The 15981-nt window shown below is 56.9% G+C and overlaps 7 annotated features.

The window, feature by feature from the left end:
- Window positions 1595-1764: an enhancer, noted in NCBI's record as "active region_18541". NCBI's record gives its function as "activates an Ori minimal core promoter by ATAC-STARR-seq in GM12878 lymphoblastoid cells {active_cell/tissue: GM12878}" and the evidence as "EXISTENCE:reporter gene assay evidence [ECO:0000049][PMID:35858748]".
- Window positions 1985-2034: an enhancer, noted in NCBI's record as "active region_18540". NCBI's record gives its function as "activates an Ori minimal core promoter by ATAC-STARR-seq in GM12878 lymphoblastoid cells {active_cell/tissue: GM12878}" and the evidence as "EXISTENCE:reporter gene assay evidence [ECO:0000049][PMID:35858748]".
- Window positions 3385-3714: a silencer, noted in NCBI's record as "silent region_13359". NCBI's record gives its function as "represses an Ori minimal core promoter by ATAC-STARR-seq in GM12878 lymphoblastoid cells {active_cell/tissue: GM12878}" and the evidence as "EXISTENCE:reporter gene assay evidence [ECO:0000049][PMID:35858748]".
- Window positions 4125-4364: an enhancer, noted in NCBI's record as "active region_18539". NCBI's record gives its function as "activates an Ori minimal core promoter by ATAC-STARR-seq in GM12878 lymphoblastoid cells {active_cell/tissue: GM12878}" and the evidence as "EXISTENCE:reporter gene assay evidence [ECO:0000049][PMID:35858748]".
- Window positions 4535-4624: an enhancer, noted in NCBI's record as "active region_18538". NCBI's record gives its function as "activates an Ori minimal core promoter by ATAC-STARR-seq in GM12878 lymphoblastoid cells {active_cell/tissue: GM12878}" and the evidence as "EXISTENCE:reporter gene assay evidence [ECO:0000049][PMID:35858748]".
- Window positions 4765-5064: an enhancer, noted in NCBI's record as "active region_18537". NCBI's record gives its function as "activates an Ori minimal core promoter by ATAC-STARR-seq in GM12878 lymphoblastoid cells {active_cell/tissue: GM12878}" and the evidence as "EXISTENCE:reporter gene assay evidence [ECO:0000049][PMID:35858748]".
- Window positions 6924-7583: an enhancer, noted in NCBI's record as "H3K4me1 hESC enhancer chr21:44770223-44770882 (GRCh37/hg19 assembly coordinates)". NCBI's record gives its function as "activates a minimal SCP1, AML or CMV promoter by ChIP-STARR-seq in primed H9 embryonic stem cells {active_cell/tissue: H9 hESC(primed)}" and the evidence as "EXISTENCE:reporter gene assay evidence [ECO:0000049][PMID:30033119]".

The following is a 15981-nucleotide window of genomic DNA, read 5'->3' as shown; positions in this document are numbered from 1 at the left end:
CCCGAGGGTCCTGGAACCTTCAGCTGCTTCCGGGCTCAGCCGGTGTCGTGGGGAGCCAGGTCCTGTGGTGGCTCCCAGCCCCAAAGCTGACTCTGCGTGGGACAACAAACGGTTTAATTAACCTCTCAGCTTTTTCATCTGTGAAGCGGAGCTTGGGATGCTTGCCACCGGACCAGGAGGCCACGAAGACGGATGTTAGAAAACCTCTGTGCCAGTGACGAAAGACATCGAAGCTATAATACCCTGTTAGGCAAAGCAAGAAGATAACTCATACATGCAGGAGACAGTCTCCTTGTGCAGAGGGGCCTTTGGAACCGATGTATGGTGGAGCCCTGAGAAACCTGAAGCTGTGTAGAGCCTGCAGCCCCCGCCCCACGTCCCAAAGCGATGTGGCCTGGGGAGCTCTTGTCCTGCCCTTTTTGGACACCCCCCTTCTTTGAGGGCATCTTTCTTCTTAAAGGTGTTGGGGCGGGAGTAGGTGGGGGTCTAGCTTTGCTGATTTCCTTGTAAGTGCATTTTATTATTATTATTATTATTATTATTATTATTATTATTATTTTGAGACAGAAGCTCGCTCTGATGAGCGAGATTCAAAATTATTATTTTGAGACGGGGTTTCACTATGTTGGCCAGGCTGGTCTCGAACTCCTGACCTCAGGGATCCACCCACCTCGGCCTCCCAAAGTGCTGGGATTACAGGCATGAGCCACTGCGCCCAGCCAAGTGCATTGTTTTTAAAAGGGGTAAATCATCTAGTGAAACCCCATCTCTATTAAAATACAAAAATTAGCCAGGCCTGGTGGTGCACACCTGTAGTCCCAGCGACTCCAGAGTCTGAGGCAGGAGAATCGCTTGAACCTGGGAGGCGGAGGTTGCAGTGAGCTGAGATCGCGCCACTGCTCTCCAGCCTCGGTGACAGAGCGAGATTCCGTCTCAAAATAATAATAATAATAGTCTGTCTCTGTGTGTTTAATTACAAGTAACTAACTAGTTACTGTTGCAACTCATTTATTTGGGGACAGGCTCCTATCTAGTGTCCCACCACGATATTATTTGGGCCAGGAAAGACATACACAACCGATGAAAGGCTGGGAGCTGAATCTTAGTGCTAAAGATTCGCTGTGGGAAAGCACAGAGCCTAGGAGTTTGCTAAGGGCCTGGGCTCCTACAGGCAGGCACCGCTGACTGATAGCCAGAAGATTCTAGACTCCCAGGCCACCGGTTTCTTGAAGTGGCATTAACCCTGGCAGGCTCTTTGAAGTGTGTGCCCAGAGACTGGGTTGGTGGGGGGTCTGTGCAGGAGCCAGGCCACCTGTGCTCAGAGTCAGCAATGCGCGTTTCTCTGTCCGTAAGTCAGCGGTGCGGGTCTCTGTGTGACTGTGTCAGGGTGCTCTTGGGAAGAGGGGTGAGGGGCTGTGGGCCTCGAGCTGACGGGACGGGCAGGAAGGCTCACCTACCGAGGACAGCAAGTCAGAGCCAACAGGGGAGCCCTCCGGGGAAAGGGCTTTCAAGCCCTGGCACCACCAAGGTTTCAACCAAGAGACGTTGAACCAGGTTCCAGTAGACAACCCGCTGTCAGGGTGCACAGACTGTGGAAACCAGTGAGAAGTCCTCTTCCTGTACAACACGGTGGCCAGTGCATGGCTGCAGACCTCAGCCAAAAGCCCACAGCCAGGCCAGCAGTTACAGGCGGCAGCCGGTCTCTTGTCTTCCCAAGGCCCCAGCAGCTCTGTCCTTCCACACAGCCCCTGCTGACGGCCATCGTTGGTATGGACACATCAGGCCTCCAGGCTGCTGCAGGGCCTGTCCCTGGTGGCAGCTGTGACATTAGTCATCGAGGGGCTCCCCTGGCCTCCCCTGGCTGGCTGGGAGTGAGGTGACATAAATAGACTGAGCAGGTAGCTCTGCAGACCACGGGATCACCAGCGTCCCTTGTGGCCAGTGTGGCTTTAAAGTGTGTCCCAGAGGTGGCTCTTGAGGCAGTCTTGCTGGACTGTTATTAGGCACATCTGCTCCAGGGAGTGCCCATTCATTATGGCCAAATAAGCAGGCATAGGCGCCGGCCCCAGACGAGGTCTCTGGGGAACTCCAGGGGTGGGAGAGCCACCCTCTCCAGCGGCCTCAGGGCCCCGGTGCTCGGAAGCCTGGCTCCTCTGGCTTGAGCTCAGGTCTACAGCGAGCAGGGAGTCTTCCTACTGCTGCTCCAAGCTGCCTGGGCCAGCTGTGTTCGCCGAGGGGGCTGCCGGCTCACCACTGCCTGCCTTGAGTGCCAGGGTCTTTTGTGAAATAATCATGTTACTCAAGTTCAGTCCTTGAATAAATAGCACATTTTTGCATGTATTTTGTAGAGTGGCATATGCTTCAAAGTTCTAAAGGCACCGCAGGGTATCTATTCTGTGAAGCCTTCCTTCTACCCGGTCCCCGCCCGCCCATCGAGACAAGCAGCATGGCCAACCGCGGTGTGCATCCTTCTGTGCGTTAATGAGCAAATAGGCACAAGCACTGCCTACGCCTCTATGCGGAGGTGCGGGCTCACCGCTAGTGCTCTTCTGCACTTTTGCTTTTTTCAGCAAATGCCATGCGTCAGAGCTGTTTCTCCACTGCCACACAGCCCCAGCCTTTCCCGCGGCTGAGTGGCAGCCCATTGGAAGGTTCATAACTATCCATGGAAATCTAGGTTGAGTTCAGGTATTTGCAGTTAAAAACAATGCTACCACACGGTGCTCTGCAATATGCCAGTATGAGTGCATGTGTGTCTGCGATGGGGAGGGGATGGTCTCAGGGGTGCAGCTGCAGGGCTGCACCAGTATGTGTGTGTGAATATGTCAGTATGTGTGCGTGTGCATCTGTGGTGGGGAGGGGGTGGTCTCAGGGGTGCAGCTGCAGGGCTGCACCAGTATGTGTGTGTGAATATGTCAGTATGTGTGCGTGTGCATCTGTGGTGGGGAGGGGTTGGTCTCGGGTGCAGCTGCAAATTGCATTTGCATCTGAACTTGCAGTTGCATTTGCACCTGTGCTTGTATTTGTGTTTGTATTTGCATTGGGGCTGTCACCTGTATTTGCAGTAAGATGGGGTGGTCACACTCAGGTGGGTCCGCATGGGACATGTCACAGAAGCAAATCTGGCCTATACCTGGCTTGGAGGTGCTCTTTGATTCTTGACTTCGCTAAAGGGCAGTAGGTCTGCCAGTCAGGGTCCTATAAGGAAAACCAGCTGGTCTACATGTTCCAACAGAGGAGATTTAACACCAGGAATCAGCTACCGAGGTGCCAGAAGAGCAGAAGGGAGAAGCAGGCTTGGGGGAGGCCAGGGCAGGAGGGTGCTCCTGGTGACAGGAGCTGCTGCTGCCCATGGAGCCTGTGCTGCCGAGCTGTTAGAGCTGCAGCTGGCTCTGGATGTGCTGGTGAGGGGCCACCTCCAGCAGGGTAGGGACACCTGCCCTGACCCTAGGGGCCGCCTCCCGCAGGGTGGGGATGCCTGCCCTGACCAGAGGGGCTGCCCCCAGCAGGGCGAGGACACCTGCCCTGACCGGAGGGGCCGCCGATGCCAACTGGAAGCAAGAAGCATTGCCCCTCCTCCTGCGGCAGAGCTGGCTGAGGCGCCCGTAGGCACGGGAGTTCTGGAAGTGAGTGTGCAGCTTCCGGGCCCCTAGAAACAAAGCGTGGGGCTGAGAGCAGAGGTGCAAGCAATGTGCAGGGAGTGAGCCCCAGCCCGCCCTGCTGTGGCCTCAGCGTGAGGCCAGGCTGTCCTGTTGGCTCTGACCCAGCGGCATTGGGGGCCACGAGGCTGCCAGGGCTGTGCTGGCCTGAGGCTTCTACCTCTGTCTGTTGAAACTCCACCCTGCCCAGTACCACTCTCATCCCACATCCTCTGTGCTGGGGGCCCTTCCTGGTGCTGGGGCCCTCGTTCTATACGCAGTTTGCCCAACCAGGTGAGCAGGAGCTGCAGTCCTGGACTCCTATCCAGGATGCATCCCTGAGGACCAAGGGACCCTCACCAGCTGTGGCTGGAAGCCCCTCAGATGGGCTCCCCAACAGCCGCCCCCCAACAGCTGCCTGGCACCTGCAGCGGGTGTCACAGAGGGGACTTGGGACTGAGGGCTGCTTGCGTCATGTCGTCCTGGGCTGTCGGGAACCCCCTAGAGCTCCTCTCTGGGGAGAAAAAGGGGATCGGGCCCCTCTGTGACATGAACCGTGCAGGGCCAGCTCCGAGGGGCCTTGCCAGGAAAGGGGAGCAGAGCTGCCTTCCATCCCCCATGGAGAAAATCGAGACCATGCTGGCAGCCATCCGGCTGGTCAGGCTTGACCCCTGGGTGTCCCGCGGCTGTTGCACAAAGCACCACAGACGGGGGTCCAGACAACAGACATTCACTCTCTTGCGCTGCTGGAGGCCGGACCCCCGAGCTGAAGCCGTTGGCAGGGCTGGTTCCTTCCGGGGCTGGGGGACTGCGTCTGCCCCGGCCTCTCTCTGCGCCTCTGGGACCCTTGGCATTCCCTGGCTGGTGGAAGCGTCATCCCGGTCCCTGTCTCCCTCTTCACACGCGTTCTCCAGCACCTGTCTGTGCTCAAATCTCCCCTTCTCGGAAGGACAGTGGTCATTGGATTAGGGGCCCAGCCTACTCCAGCATGGCCTCCTTTTAACCAATTCCATCTGCAAAAAGCTATTTCCAAATGAGTCACATTCTGAGGTACTGGGGGTCAGGACTTCGACATAGAAATGGGGGAGTGGAATGGAGACAGACGTAATTCAACCCGTAACAATCCCCTCATAAGCAAAGAACTTCTCCAAACGGAAATAAAGAAGTCTCAGTGGCCCGTTACATTAAATCGGAGACTAGGCCCCAAGAGGCCCAAGCGAATGGTGCCAGGCAGTCCTCGCAAGTGATCTCACCCCAGCTTGAGTTGCAGAGGTAAGCGAAACTGAGCTATTTCTTGTAAATGCCTGCATTAAAGAGAAACAGAACTTAAGCTCCACCAATCAGAGGCAGCCAACAAACTTACATAACCAGGGACTTTCCAATGGGACGGACCCAATAAAGAAACTGCGTACATGCGGCCAATCAGATACTTTCTCTGCTTCACCTTAGGCAACTGCTGTACCTACGACCAATCAGATACTTTCTCTGGTGCATGTCAGGCAACTGCATGCCTGCAGCCAATCAGATACCTTCTCTGCCTGCTAGCAGCCAATCAGATACTTTCTCTGCTTTATGTGTGTCAACTGCATGCCTGTGGCCAATCAGATACCTTCTCTGGTGTACAACAGGCAATGGCGTACCTGCGACCAATCAGACCACTTTCTCTGCTTGACATCTGCGCATGTCCTAGGAGAGCTGCCCCTGTGTTCCCTTGGTGGAGCTCCTGATCCATTCTGGTGTGGGGCTGCCTGATTCATGAATGGTGGTTTGCTCAAGTCAACTCTTTAAAAAGTATATTATGCCTCAGTTTACCTTTTTAAAACATACCTCAACTTGAAAGGCAGGTCGAGAAGAGGAGTAGGGAGTTCTCAAGGATGTAAATATAAGGGAACACTAAACACCGGGAAGAAAGTTCGACCTCATTCGTCAACAAAAGAATGTACATCCGGACACTACAGTTTCCCTGTTGAACTAGTGAAATTGTATTAACTGATCATCCTCAGTGGAGCGTAAATGCAGGTAGACTTTTAGAGGATGTTGTCAACGTGAATCTGCAACCTGAAGACGTTCCTTCAATCCTGGGCTTCTATTTCTGATCCTCTAACATAAGGAAAGATCCCAAGCTATGGGAAAATATTGATGCAGAAAAAGATTCATCTCAGGGTAATTAAAAAATGTACAGAAGCAAATCCAATATAGCAAAAGGAGAGATTTGGGTATATCCATAGGAGAGAATGCCATACAATCATTACAAATTACATTGAAAAAGGATGCTAACGGCACTGGAGACCCCCATGGTTACAGTGTTGAGCAACAAACGTGAGCTAAGCTTATGCACACACACACCACACACACGCACACGTGGGGTTAAAATCAAACCCGGGAGTGAGTTTACGGAGGTATGACTGAGTGTCAACGCGAAGAGGCCATATCCCAGAAAGGAGATTTTTGTATTTACAAGAGGAGGGGCCTGCGACGCATCACAGGGCCAGGAAATGCCAGTTAGTTTGGGGAGGAGTAGGCACCAGCCTTTCTTGGGGTTTCCTTGGGAAAGGCAGGGCAGGCGGGTAGACTCAGGACTGGCTGGCATGAACAATTCTGTTGGACTTTGGGGCGTAGGGGCTGTCCCTGCTTGCCTGGCTCTGAGGTCATCTAGGGCAGGGAAAATGCTGGCTTGGTGTACCAGTGAGATGAAGCGGATGGTTGGGGTATAGACAGGACTGGCTGCTCTAGGCCAAGCCCTATCTTGGCTCTGAAATCAGCCAGCTCTGGGAGGGACAGTCTGCAAGAGTCTTTGAATGCCAGAGCATCAAGAATACAGAAAATAAGAAAATTATAGTGAATACAATTGGCCCTGTGACAAATGGATGCCAAAAAGACAAATACAGAATCTCAGAAAACCCAGCTAGAACACACACACACACACACACACACACACACACACACACACACACACACAGACATTATTTAACTATGTTTTTGAAATGCACAGAAACAGGCAATGCTGGAAGGAAACATTCCAAAATGTTGAAGGTGTTCTCTTTGTGTTGTGAATATATGGTGGGTTTTTCTCCTTCTGTTTCTTGTAATGTTCTTAATTTCCAAATTCTCTGTCAATGAATATGTATTATTTTGATAGTGAGGAAAAAAGGATTTAAACTATTTACCGGCTGCCTGGACAGGAGGCCTCAGCTGGGGCCTCCCTGAACCAAGCCGGCCCCGTTCTCTCACCTGCCGGGCTGGGGGACCCCGTGCCGCTGCACATCACTCGGGCACTGTGTCTCCTTCTGCTGGCATCTCGAAGAGCCGGGAGGGAGGAGCGTCGGAGAAGTGTGTGTGGTGATGCTAGTGGTGAGACAGGGCCCAGGGCATATTGGTGCCTATCAGCTATTCCATAGCTGGTGTCTTGGTCTCTGCAGAGCCTGTTCCGAGGACAGCAGGCTCAGTGTGAGGGGCCAGGTGTCCTCCACACCCCTCTCAGCTGCCACCTGAGCCCAGGCAGGGGGAACTGGCCAGGACTCAACACTGTCCTCTCCAAGGGGTGGGACCCAGGTGGCAAGCACACAGTTGGGATGGTGGGGCCTTGGGGCCTCAGCCTTCATCTGCACACCCGCCACCCCACAGATCTCCCAGACTTCCATCCCAGCGAGGGACCAGGGTCCTGATCTGCCCGGGACTTCCTTGGTTTCAGCACTAAAAGCCCCACACCCTGCTAGTCCAGGCCAAATGGGGAGGGTTGGTCACCTATGCTCAATGTCCCCTCAGAGCCCTGAGCCATGCAGGGCCCCCACATCCCCACGTCTCCACCCCCTCTCACCCCAGATCTGGTCTGAGTGGGAGTCGGTCCTGCGGTCCCAATGGTCTCTGACAGTCACAGTTCCCTGGGATCCATAGCTCCCAGCCACCTGGGGGTGGCACAGAATGTCTCGGGGTGGGGGACAGGTGTCAGAGGGCTTAACTGCACCCCTGTGCTAAGGGCTGTCCTCCCCAAAAGTCCTGGGGGGGACCATTCTCCATACGCCCCTCCTGCCAGATGCTGGACCACCTGTGATGGGGGCGGAGGGACTGCGCCGTCAGCTCCGTCTGGAAAAGTGTGTGTGTGAGAGCAGAGGGGCGGGAGAGAGGATGAGAGAGGAGGGGGGAGGGGGCGGGAAAGAGTGAGTTTGGGGAGGAAGAGAATTACCTTGGGATTCTATCCTGAGGTGACCCAGATAGCTCCTGCTCTGGAAGATACCTTGGTTCAGTCGTGGCCTTCAGGAGGTCAGCCAGATTGCCAGAGAACTCATACCTTTTATTAACATTTTCTCAGGTGCTTTAAACCGCAGTCATTATGTAGGGAGCATAGGTTACAAATTATGGCAAAATATGCTTTTGCTAATCGATTGGCTCCATTGCATATACGCACAATCTACACACACATTCATGTGTCATCAGAACCATGACTCGAGACAATTTTAATGCAGAATTGAGAAAAACAAACTTGCCCAACCGTATTCTGAAACGAGCCCTTTCCAGCCTCCCTCCCAGGGACCTAGAAAGATAGCTCCCTGGAAGTCAGAAAATGGAAGCTGGAGTCTCAGCTGCTCCACAGAGCGCCCTGGGACTTAAGGTGTCACTTGCCTCGGTTTCCCCACAAAGGGTGAGAGAAGGAGGGGGCCTCTTACTTTCCGTCCTTTGCACACAATGGCTGTCTCCATGAAGGCCACCAGGGCCATGGAAGTGAGCAGCAGGACCAGCTCCTAGTGGGCACAGCCAACCCTTCTGCGGGAGCCCCTTCGCAAGGATGGCGCAGTGGGCAGAGGCTGCAGCTTCAGCCTCCTAGGCTGAGGTCACACAGGGCCTCCAGGGGGTTGAGCCGGCTACCCTCCCCCCAGGAGCTGGCTGCCTCCTCCTCCAGCTTTGGCCCCTGGATCCCTTAAAAAGCAAGCGCCACCTTAGAGCCAGGTGATTAAACCAAGACACTGGTCTTTTATTCATGTCTCTGCCAACCGCTGTTTCAGTCTCTTGTCAGGCACATTCATGGCTTCCAGCAGGACGTCGGTAAATTTCTGGCTATGAAATGATTGTGTTTCTACAGCAGCCGCAGGCGGGGTAAACGGGAAGGGTTAAACTGGCTTCCTGTCCTGGAACATTTGGGGATTTTTATCACACGTCACTGTCTGTGACAGCCTCTGGGCCTTTGGAATATTCCGGCACAACTGCCGGCTCCTTGGGCTCATCTTGGCTCAGCAACAAGTTCCCAGGCAAGGCCGTGGTGCCCTGGACAGGTCAAGAGCGGATCGGGACAGGGCTCGCCGTGGTGAGGGGCGGGCTTCTCGCAGGGAAACGCAGTCTGCATCGCCCTGACCATGTCTCGGGGCTGCCCAGGGCAGGTCCAAGTGGGCTGGTGGGTTTCTGGGTGTGTCATTTGCTCTCCCAGGCATGCGTGCAGGCGCCACCCTTGGAGCCCCTGGGCCCTGCTTCCTCGCTGCGGCTGGGACCCTGTCCTGAGGGGCCATGAGCTCCGAGGGGCTGTTTCACAGTGAGCCTGGCTGGGTCCTCCGGGGTCTCCTCTGGGCGGCGAGGGCAAACTCGTGGAGCTTCAGGATTTTGAGAATTGCAGGAAGCGAGACCTGAACTCAAAATAACTTTAAGCCAAAAAGGAAGTTTGTTGAGAGTCCTTGAAGGAGCCGGCCTTGGGGACTTCAGCGACCCAGCCCCCTCCTACTGTCCACCCTGTTTCCCTCTGGGTGGGGCCTCTTTCTCTCCTCTGACATTTGGGACTCCTTCTGGGCCCGGCCTGGCCACACAGCACCCCACAGTCTGCATGGTGGCCCAGCCGGGATACCTCCAGCCCCAGAGGCAAGAGGCCCCCTACTGATGTGGCAGAGGCAGGAAGGGGCTGGGATACAGCCGGCAGCAACCATACCCAGTGCCCACCGCACCCCCAAGACCCCCAGGTGGGGCCCCCGAGGTGGGGACAGGAGTTCCAGCCCAGGCCCTGATGCCCAGTGCCACATGCGTCCAGCGAGCCCCTTCAGCGTCCTGGGTCTGTCCTTCAGCCACAGGATGGGAACATGAGGCAGCTCCAGGGTGGCACCTGTGGCCATGGCCAAATTCAGCCTGCCCATGTCTGACCACAAGCTAGGAATGATTCTAACATTTACAAATGGTTGGGGAAAAGAGAAGGCTTTGTGACACATGAAAGTTAAACAGAATTCCCATTTCCAGGTCCATAAACACAGTGTAATTGGCACAAGCCACACCCACTTTTCCACATCTGTGGATGCTTCTGCACTTTGAGGGCAGAGACCGCAAGGCCCCTTCCGGAGACGGGGTGCCGACCAGAGGCCCCTCCAAGAGACGGGTGTTTCTCATTCAGCCGGCTCAGGCTGACTACGAATTCAGCCTCTGCCAAAAATGCCAGAATCCTTCGTCGTGGTTTTTATGCCCTACATTTTTTTCTAATATGCAAGAAAACCAATCTATGACTGTTCAAAAGTAGACGCTAAAATCCCATTCCACCGCAAGCATCCTAAGGCCCTGCCTGATTTGAGGCCTCTTCCCACCGGGTGTCCTGGGGTCCCTGGGTCCTGACGTCCCTTCCCTGCCTGGGCTGTGACGGTCACCAGGCTAACAGGGCCAGAGCCGGGCTGGGGGCCGGCACTGTGGACGGGGAAGGAACCTGCCAGGCACATCTGTCCTCTGTCGGTCGGTCTTGAACAGTGAGGTGTGGCTCCATCACATGCTCTGGAAGAAGAGTTCAAAAAGGTCTAAGCTCTTCGTGTGCTCCTCAGATGAATGGAGGGGCCGCTGGCTTGTTTCCTGGGAGTGTGTGCTTGGGTTGTGATGGGGCGTCTGTTCTCAGGCCCACGGTCTGACCAGTCATTTGTGCTTTGGGGCAGTGGGGGAGCCATCTGGAAGGTGCGGGTGCCTGCTTTCTGTAGGGTTGGGGGTTCACCCTTGCCTTTGCAAGTGGGCCTGGTGGGAAAGGCGGGCCCTGGGGTCCCAGCCACATGGCCTGGGGTTTAGGTAACCACAGGGTTCCTTGGTGGCAGTTGGGGGTGAGGGCCGAGGGCTTCTCAGTACCAACTGAAAGGTCAGGCCCAGCCACTCAAAACTGCTGGTGGGTTCCAGGGCCTGTGGACTCCACTTTACACCCAAAACAGACAGATGGGGGTGACGCCAGAGCTCCCCAAGGGGTACGGAGACCTGGGTGGTCCCTGGCCCCCTCACTGTGGTCTGGGAGCTGCCGGATCATGGGACACGAAGACCCTATCTCAGAAACATTCTTCTGGGACTGCTATCTTGGCCCAAGCTGCAGAGTCCAGCGTGGTCGTTCCTGGCAGAGGGGTAAGTCAGCAGCAGGCCGGGAAGCAAAGGCTCACAGACCTCACTCCTCAGCCTGCTGCAGGCAGGCGGTGGTCACACTCCTGACCCGGGACTTGGAATTCCTGGATGGTGTGTGCCGTGGGGGCACCCGCACAGACGAGGCCCTCCAGGGACAGTGGCTGCCCCTCCCCAAGCAGCCAGGCCAGGTACTGGGTAGGCCTAGAACCTCCTCTGGGCCTCCCACTGCACCATCTCCCAGCCCTGTTCAGTGGGCCCCGAGCTGGGGAATGGTGACCGTCCACGGCTGGCTGGAAGCCTCCGAGTGCAGCAGAGCCTGTGTGTGCTTCCCCTGAGGCGGGCCTGCCGTCCACAGACGCTCACTTCAAGCTGCCTCTGCCCTTGGGAGCCCTCTGGAATGAGGGGATGCAGGGGGAGGCCTGGCAGGAGGCTGCCTGGTCCTTGGGGCAGGTGAAAAACATGTCTTCTGCAGGAGGAGGGGGTGGTGGAGCCTCAGCAGGCCCTTGAGCGGGGCCTCCCTGACAGCCAGAGATGCAGAGGAAGAAGCAGCGTGGGTTAAAATGGGGCCAGGACAGGCTCGGGGTGGAGGGGCTGCTTCATGAAAGAAGGAGTGGGGCAGGAAAGAGCAGAGGAACCCGCAGGGAGGGCCTCCATCCAGGAGGACAGGAAGGACAGGCCCCCGCTCAGCTGCACGTGACTCAGCCCGAGCGCTTTCTTACTCACAGTTCCCGGGCCTTGCCTGTTCTCATTGGATCACGTGGTGGATACGGGATTGACCACGACCCTCCACCCCGCCCAACTCAGGGTGATGTGTTGCCTAATCTTTTGCTCCTGTTGGCAGAAAATAAGCCAGTAACACTGTCCCCTAGAGAGGCCCAGGGAGCCCCTGCATCAGCTCCAGAGGCCCCTGGAAAGACGTGATTAAAATGAAGGAAGTCAGAGGTCGTCCTCACTGAGCTCTGGCTGGGCACACGCTTCTCATACCCTCTCGGCGACGGGGAACTGGGGCTCTGCGGGCCGATGCCTCAGGCCCAGATGAGATGGTGGGGTCTGGGCGGCCGGGCACCCTTCCTCCTCCGCCAGCCCTGGAGCAGGCGCTAACCCACGTCCGTGGGAGTTCTCACGTGGTCAGCCCCAAACCCGGCTCCCAGCCAGAGTGTGGTCTGGAGCGGGGTCCAGATCAGAGACAACTTCTAGGATCTGCTTGAGCTGGGAGTGAGGAGCCTCTCCGGAGGGGGCTGGGGCACAGGGACGCACACACCCAGGTCGAAGAGGCTCCCAGGCAGCTCGATACGTATCTACAGGAAGCAGTCAGAGAGCGCGGGCACCCGGCTTCCCTGCACCTCGGATGGACCGCTTGGGACTTGCATGGAGGCCCTTGTGATGTCGCCAGGGAGGCAGGGGGCCACGCTGGCCCTCGCTGCAGTGTGGGTTTCTGGGGCGTCTTCTCTGCAGGGAGAGATGCCTGTGGGAAGGGGCTGCTCCCCTGCCCTGGGAAGTTCTGACACCCGGCAGAAGTGGAGACGTGAGAGAGCATGGCCCCAGCTGTCTATTCAGTTGTTCCTTGGTTTTCTCATGCATTCGTGTGACTCCTGTAGCAAGGGTCCACCATGTGCCATGCTCATAAGCAGCCTTTCCAGTCTGTAATGCAGCCCCCAAGGTGAGGCGAGAGGGGCCCTGGGAGACCAGGGCCGTCGGTGGGCGGTGACCTGGCTTTGACGCACAGCATTCACCAGTTCCCGTGGTGCAAACACTCCCAGCATGGCCGATTCCAACCTACCGACGTGAAGTCACGAGACACTGTTGGGACGAAACGCCCCAGTCCATAAGCTGGGGCCCCCAGCCACCAGCCACAGCTTAGGTCCAGCCCAGGGAGGTCAGCGGCGGTGCAAGGAAGCTGTGTTCCCTTAGTTTAAAGTGAGAATATTGAGATCTCGAGAGGCGGACAGGCTGCGCAAGGCCACATGTGCAGTGAGAAGCAGAACGGACCCAGATGCAGACCTTCCTGTGCAACTGAAGGTCCCTGCCTTTCTCTGCCCTCTGACTGCTGCTCTGGCAAGGTCGGGTGGGGGCTGGGGGCCTGGAGACTGGCTCACTCCCAGCAGAAGCCCCTGCCTGCCGCCCCCGGGTGGGGCCTGGGGGCGGCCGTGCAACACCAAGTGGCGGAGAGCAGCCCGATCTTCCTCCCAGCCTCGGTCTCAGGGCCCTGGGCTCCTGCCAGTCTCCCTCTCGCCAAACTCGGCTTCCTTCCTGGGTGCCCTGGGCTTGGAGAACATTCAGGCAGGTCGGGGCAGAGCCCGCAGCGTCGGTGTGCACCCCCAGGAGCCCCCACGCAGGCTTTCTCCTTGCACTCCTTGTTTGGAAACAGCAGTGTTTGCTTTTGAAGGGCGCCGGGGTATACACTGCACTTAAAGGAGGACCGCTGAGTATTTTCTTAACGGAAGAGCAAATATTTACGTCTTAGGAACTAAAGGGCAGTTTGGCGTGTGTGGGATGTTGACTCTCGACTGGGGGCGGGCAGGGAAACCAACCCTTGGCTGCCTTTGGCCTTGCTCGGCCAAAATGAGCAGAGGCGTCTGCCTTGGTCTGGGTGCCACCTGGGCCTCTATTTACCTGCCAAGAGAGAAGGAGGGCCGAGGCGGCTGTGCCAGCGACTGCTCCTCATCTTGGGGTGACTGAGCAACCCTCGATCAGCCCCCTCCTGACCATCACCTTCCCCAGCGGGTGGGGTGGGGGCAGGGGTCCTTCCGCCTCTCTGGCTTTTGCTGTGCCTGAGGGCAGAAGCCCTTGCTTGGTCCCCCCTCCAGCCCTGCCCACACTTGCTGGTGATGGCCACCAGCCCTGCCACGTGGGGAGCACGACCGCCAGCCTGCTGTGCGTCGGCAGATGGAGACTGGGCCAAAGGGTTAAGTTATTAAAGGTAAACACACACACCTGCAAAGGCTAGTGCAGCGGGGGAGGCAGCCGGAGGGGATGCAGGGGAGCCCACCGGGAGAATGGAGCCTCTTAAGGACCCCCAGCAACCACTTCCTGGGCTGGTGAGCTGCAGCTGGAGCCCCTGAGTTCACCCAGGCCTGGGGCCTGTCTTTGGGGCCCGCTGACACCAGCCCGGCCCAGGAGTGCCAGCCTGGCCCAGGAGTGCCGGTCCTGCCCAGGAGTGCCAGCCCGGCCCTGCTATGGGAGCACACGGGGCGCTCTGGGAAGCAGGCTGGTCCTGACCCCAGCAGGAGATGCAGTTCAGGGACCTCCCCAGAGCGGGGTCCTACCGAGATGCACCTGCCTGTCTGCTGATTGTTTGGCTTCCTAACCCCATGGCAATCCTGCTGCATGCTTCTGGAAGTTTCCACCAGCAATCCCACGAGCTCTGGGTCTGCACTTCAGCTATCTGCATGGAAAAGGGCACCTATTTTGTGAGTAACCTGGGTGTCCGTGGCCCCAATTCAGAGGCAGGGTTGTCCCTGAAGCTGCCAGTGGCCCTGGGTTTCTGGGAGCAGAGGGTCAGCACAGTACAGCAGCGTCCCCGCCCAGGGCAAAGCCAGGACAAGGCCTTATATATAGGCCAGGAGAGGGGAGGGCGGTGGCTCTCTGCTGGGCCGCCAGACGGAAGGTAAACAGCGCCGGGGACTGGTAGCTCCTGTCTCCAGGCAGGAATGCACAGGCCGCGCCTGAGGCAGGTGCGTCCCCAGGGAGGGTTCTGCCCTCTGAAGGCCACCCACACAGGTGGCCTCTGCAGTGGCTGAGAGGTCACAGGCTGCTGTGTTCCCCATCCTTACCCAGCTGTGACCGCCCAGTGAACTTGGGCTGTGCACACAGAGCGGTTTCTCTGCACAGCAGAGCGTCATGTCCACCGTGTCCCGTGACTGTCTGCCTCACGTATCGGATAAAGGTGGCTGGAGCCAGTTCTCACCCCGGGCTGCCTGTCGGGGGCAAAGGTGCCCTGGGGGGGGGCCTCACATCATCGTCCTCAACCCCAGTCTCGTCCCACCCACCTGGACCCACCCTGACCCTGAACAGCTGCCCCATTGTCAGCCCCCAGGTGGCCATTCTCAGCCCGTGGACACCCTGATCCTTCATGCCAACTGAGTGCAGGGCAGAGGGTCTCAGCCCCAGCTGCACAGTGTGTGTGTCGTGGAGGGGACAGAGAAACGGTCAAAATCCTGAGACACGCTCTCTGCCGTTATGCATGTGAACGTGTGCTTGCATTGCATACACACATATGTGCTGTGTACATGTGTGCACACATTTTGCACACGTGTGTGTGCTCGTGTCCTGTACATGTGCTTGATGTGTGTGTGCGTGCATATGTATGTGCAAGTGAGTGTGTTGTGTGGGTGTGCACGGGAATGTGTGTGTAAGCCCAAGTGTATGTGTATGTGTATATGTGCACGTGTGTGTATAAGTATGTGTGTGCATGAGTGCGTGTATGTGTGTATGCGTGCGTATGTGTGTGCATGTGTATGTGTGTGCATATGTGTGTGTGCATGTGTGTATGAGTATGTGTGTATGCGTATATATGTGTATGTTTGTGTATGTGTGTATGTTTGTGTATGTGTGTGTGTGCGTGTGTATGTTTGTGCATGTGTATGAGTGTGTGTGTGTGCATGTGTATGTTTGTGTGTGTGTGTGTGCACGCGCCTATTTAAGGATGCACAGGTTGCTCCTGCAGGCTGGCAGCGTGTGTCTGTGGAGCAGTGGGTGGCGCTCACCAGGGCAGCTGAGATCTCCATGGTGGCTCCAGTCTGGTGGGGTCTAAAGGGCGCCCCAGGCCTCCCATTATGCAGCCCAGCTCCCATGTGGCTCTCAGAAGACTCGTTCCGTGTGTCCGTGTGGCGGTGAGCCGCCCTGGCGAGGATCTTCTGAAAGATGAGACAGTCCCTGGGAGGCTGACGGAGGCCAGCAGCTGTAGCTCCCACTAGCTGCTGTTAAGAAGCCCAGGTATAAAGGGACCCAGAGGAAATAGGACACGGCCCACATGCCGCTCACCCCCTGCAGAGGCTGCCCTGCATGACCCCAT

This window comes from Homo sapiens, chromosome 21 (genome assembly GCF_000001405.40).
Source record: "Homo sapiens chromosome 21, GRCh38.p14 Primary Assembly".
Taxonomy (NCBI): domain Eukaryota; kingdom Metazoa; phylum Chordata; class Mammalia; order Primates; family Hominidae; genus Homo; species Homo sapiens.
The sequence above is the reverse complement of the archived record's forward strand: the minus strand, read 5'-3'. Positions and strand labels throughout refer to the sequence as shown.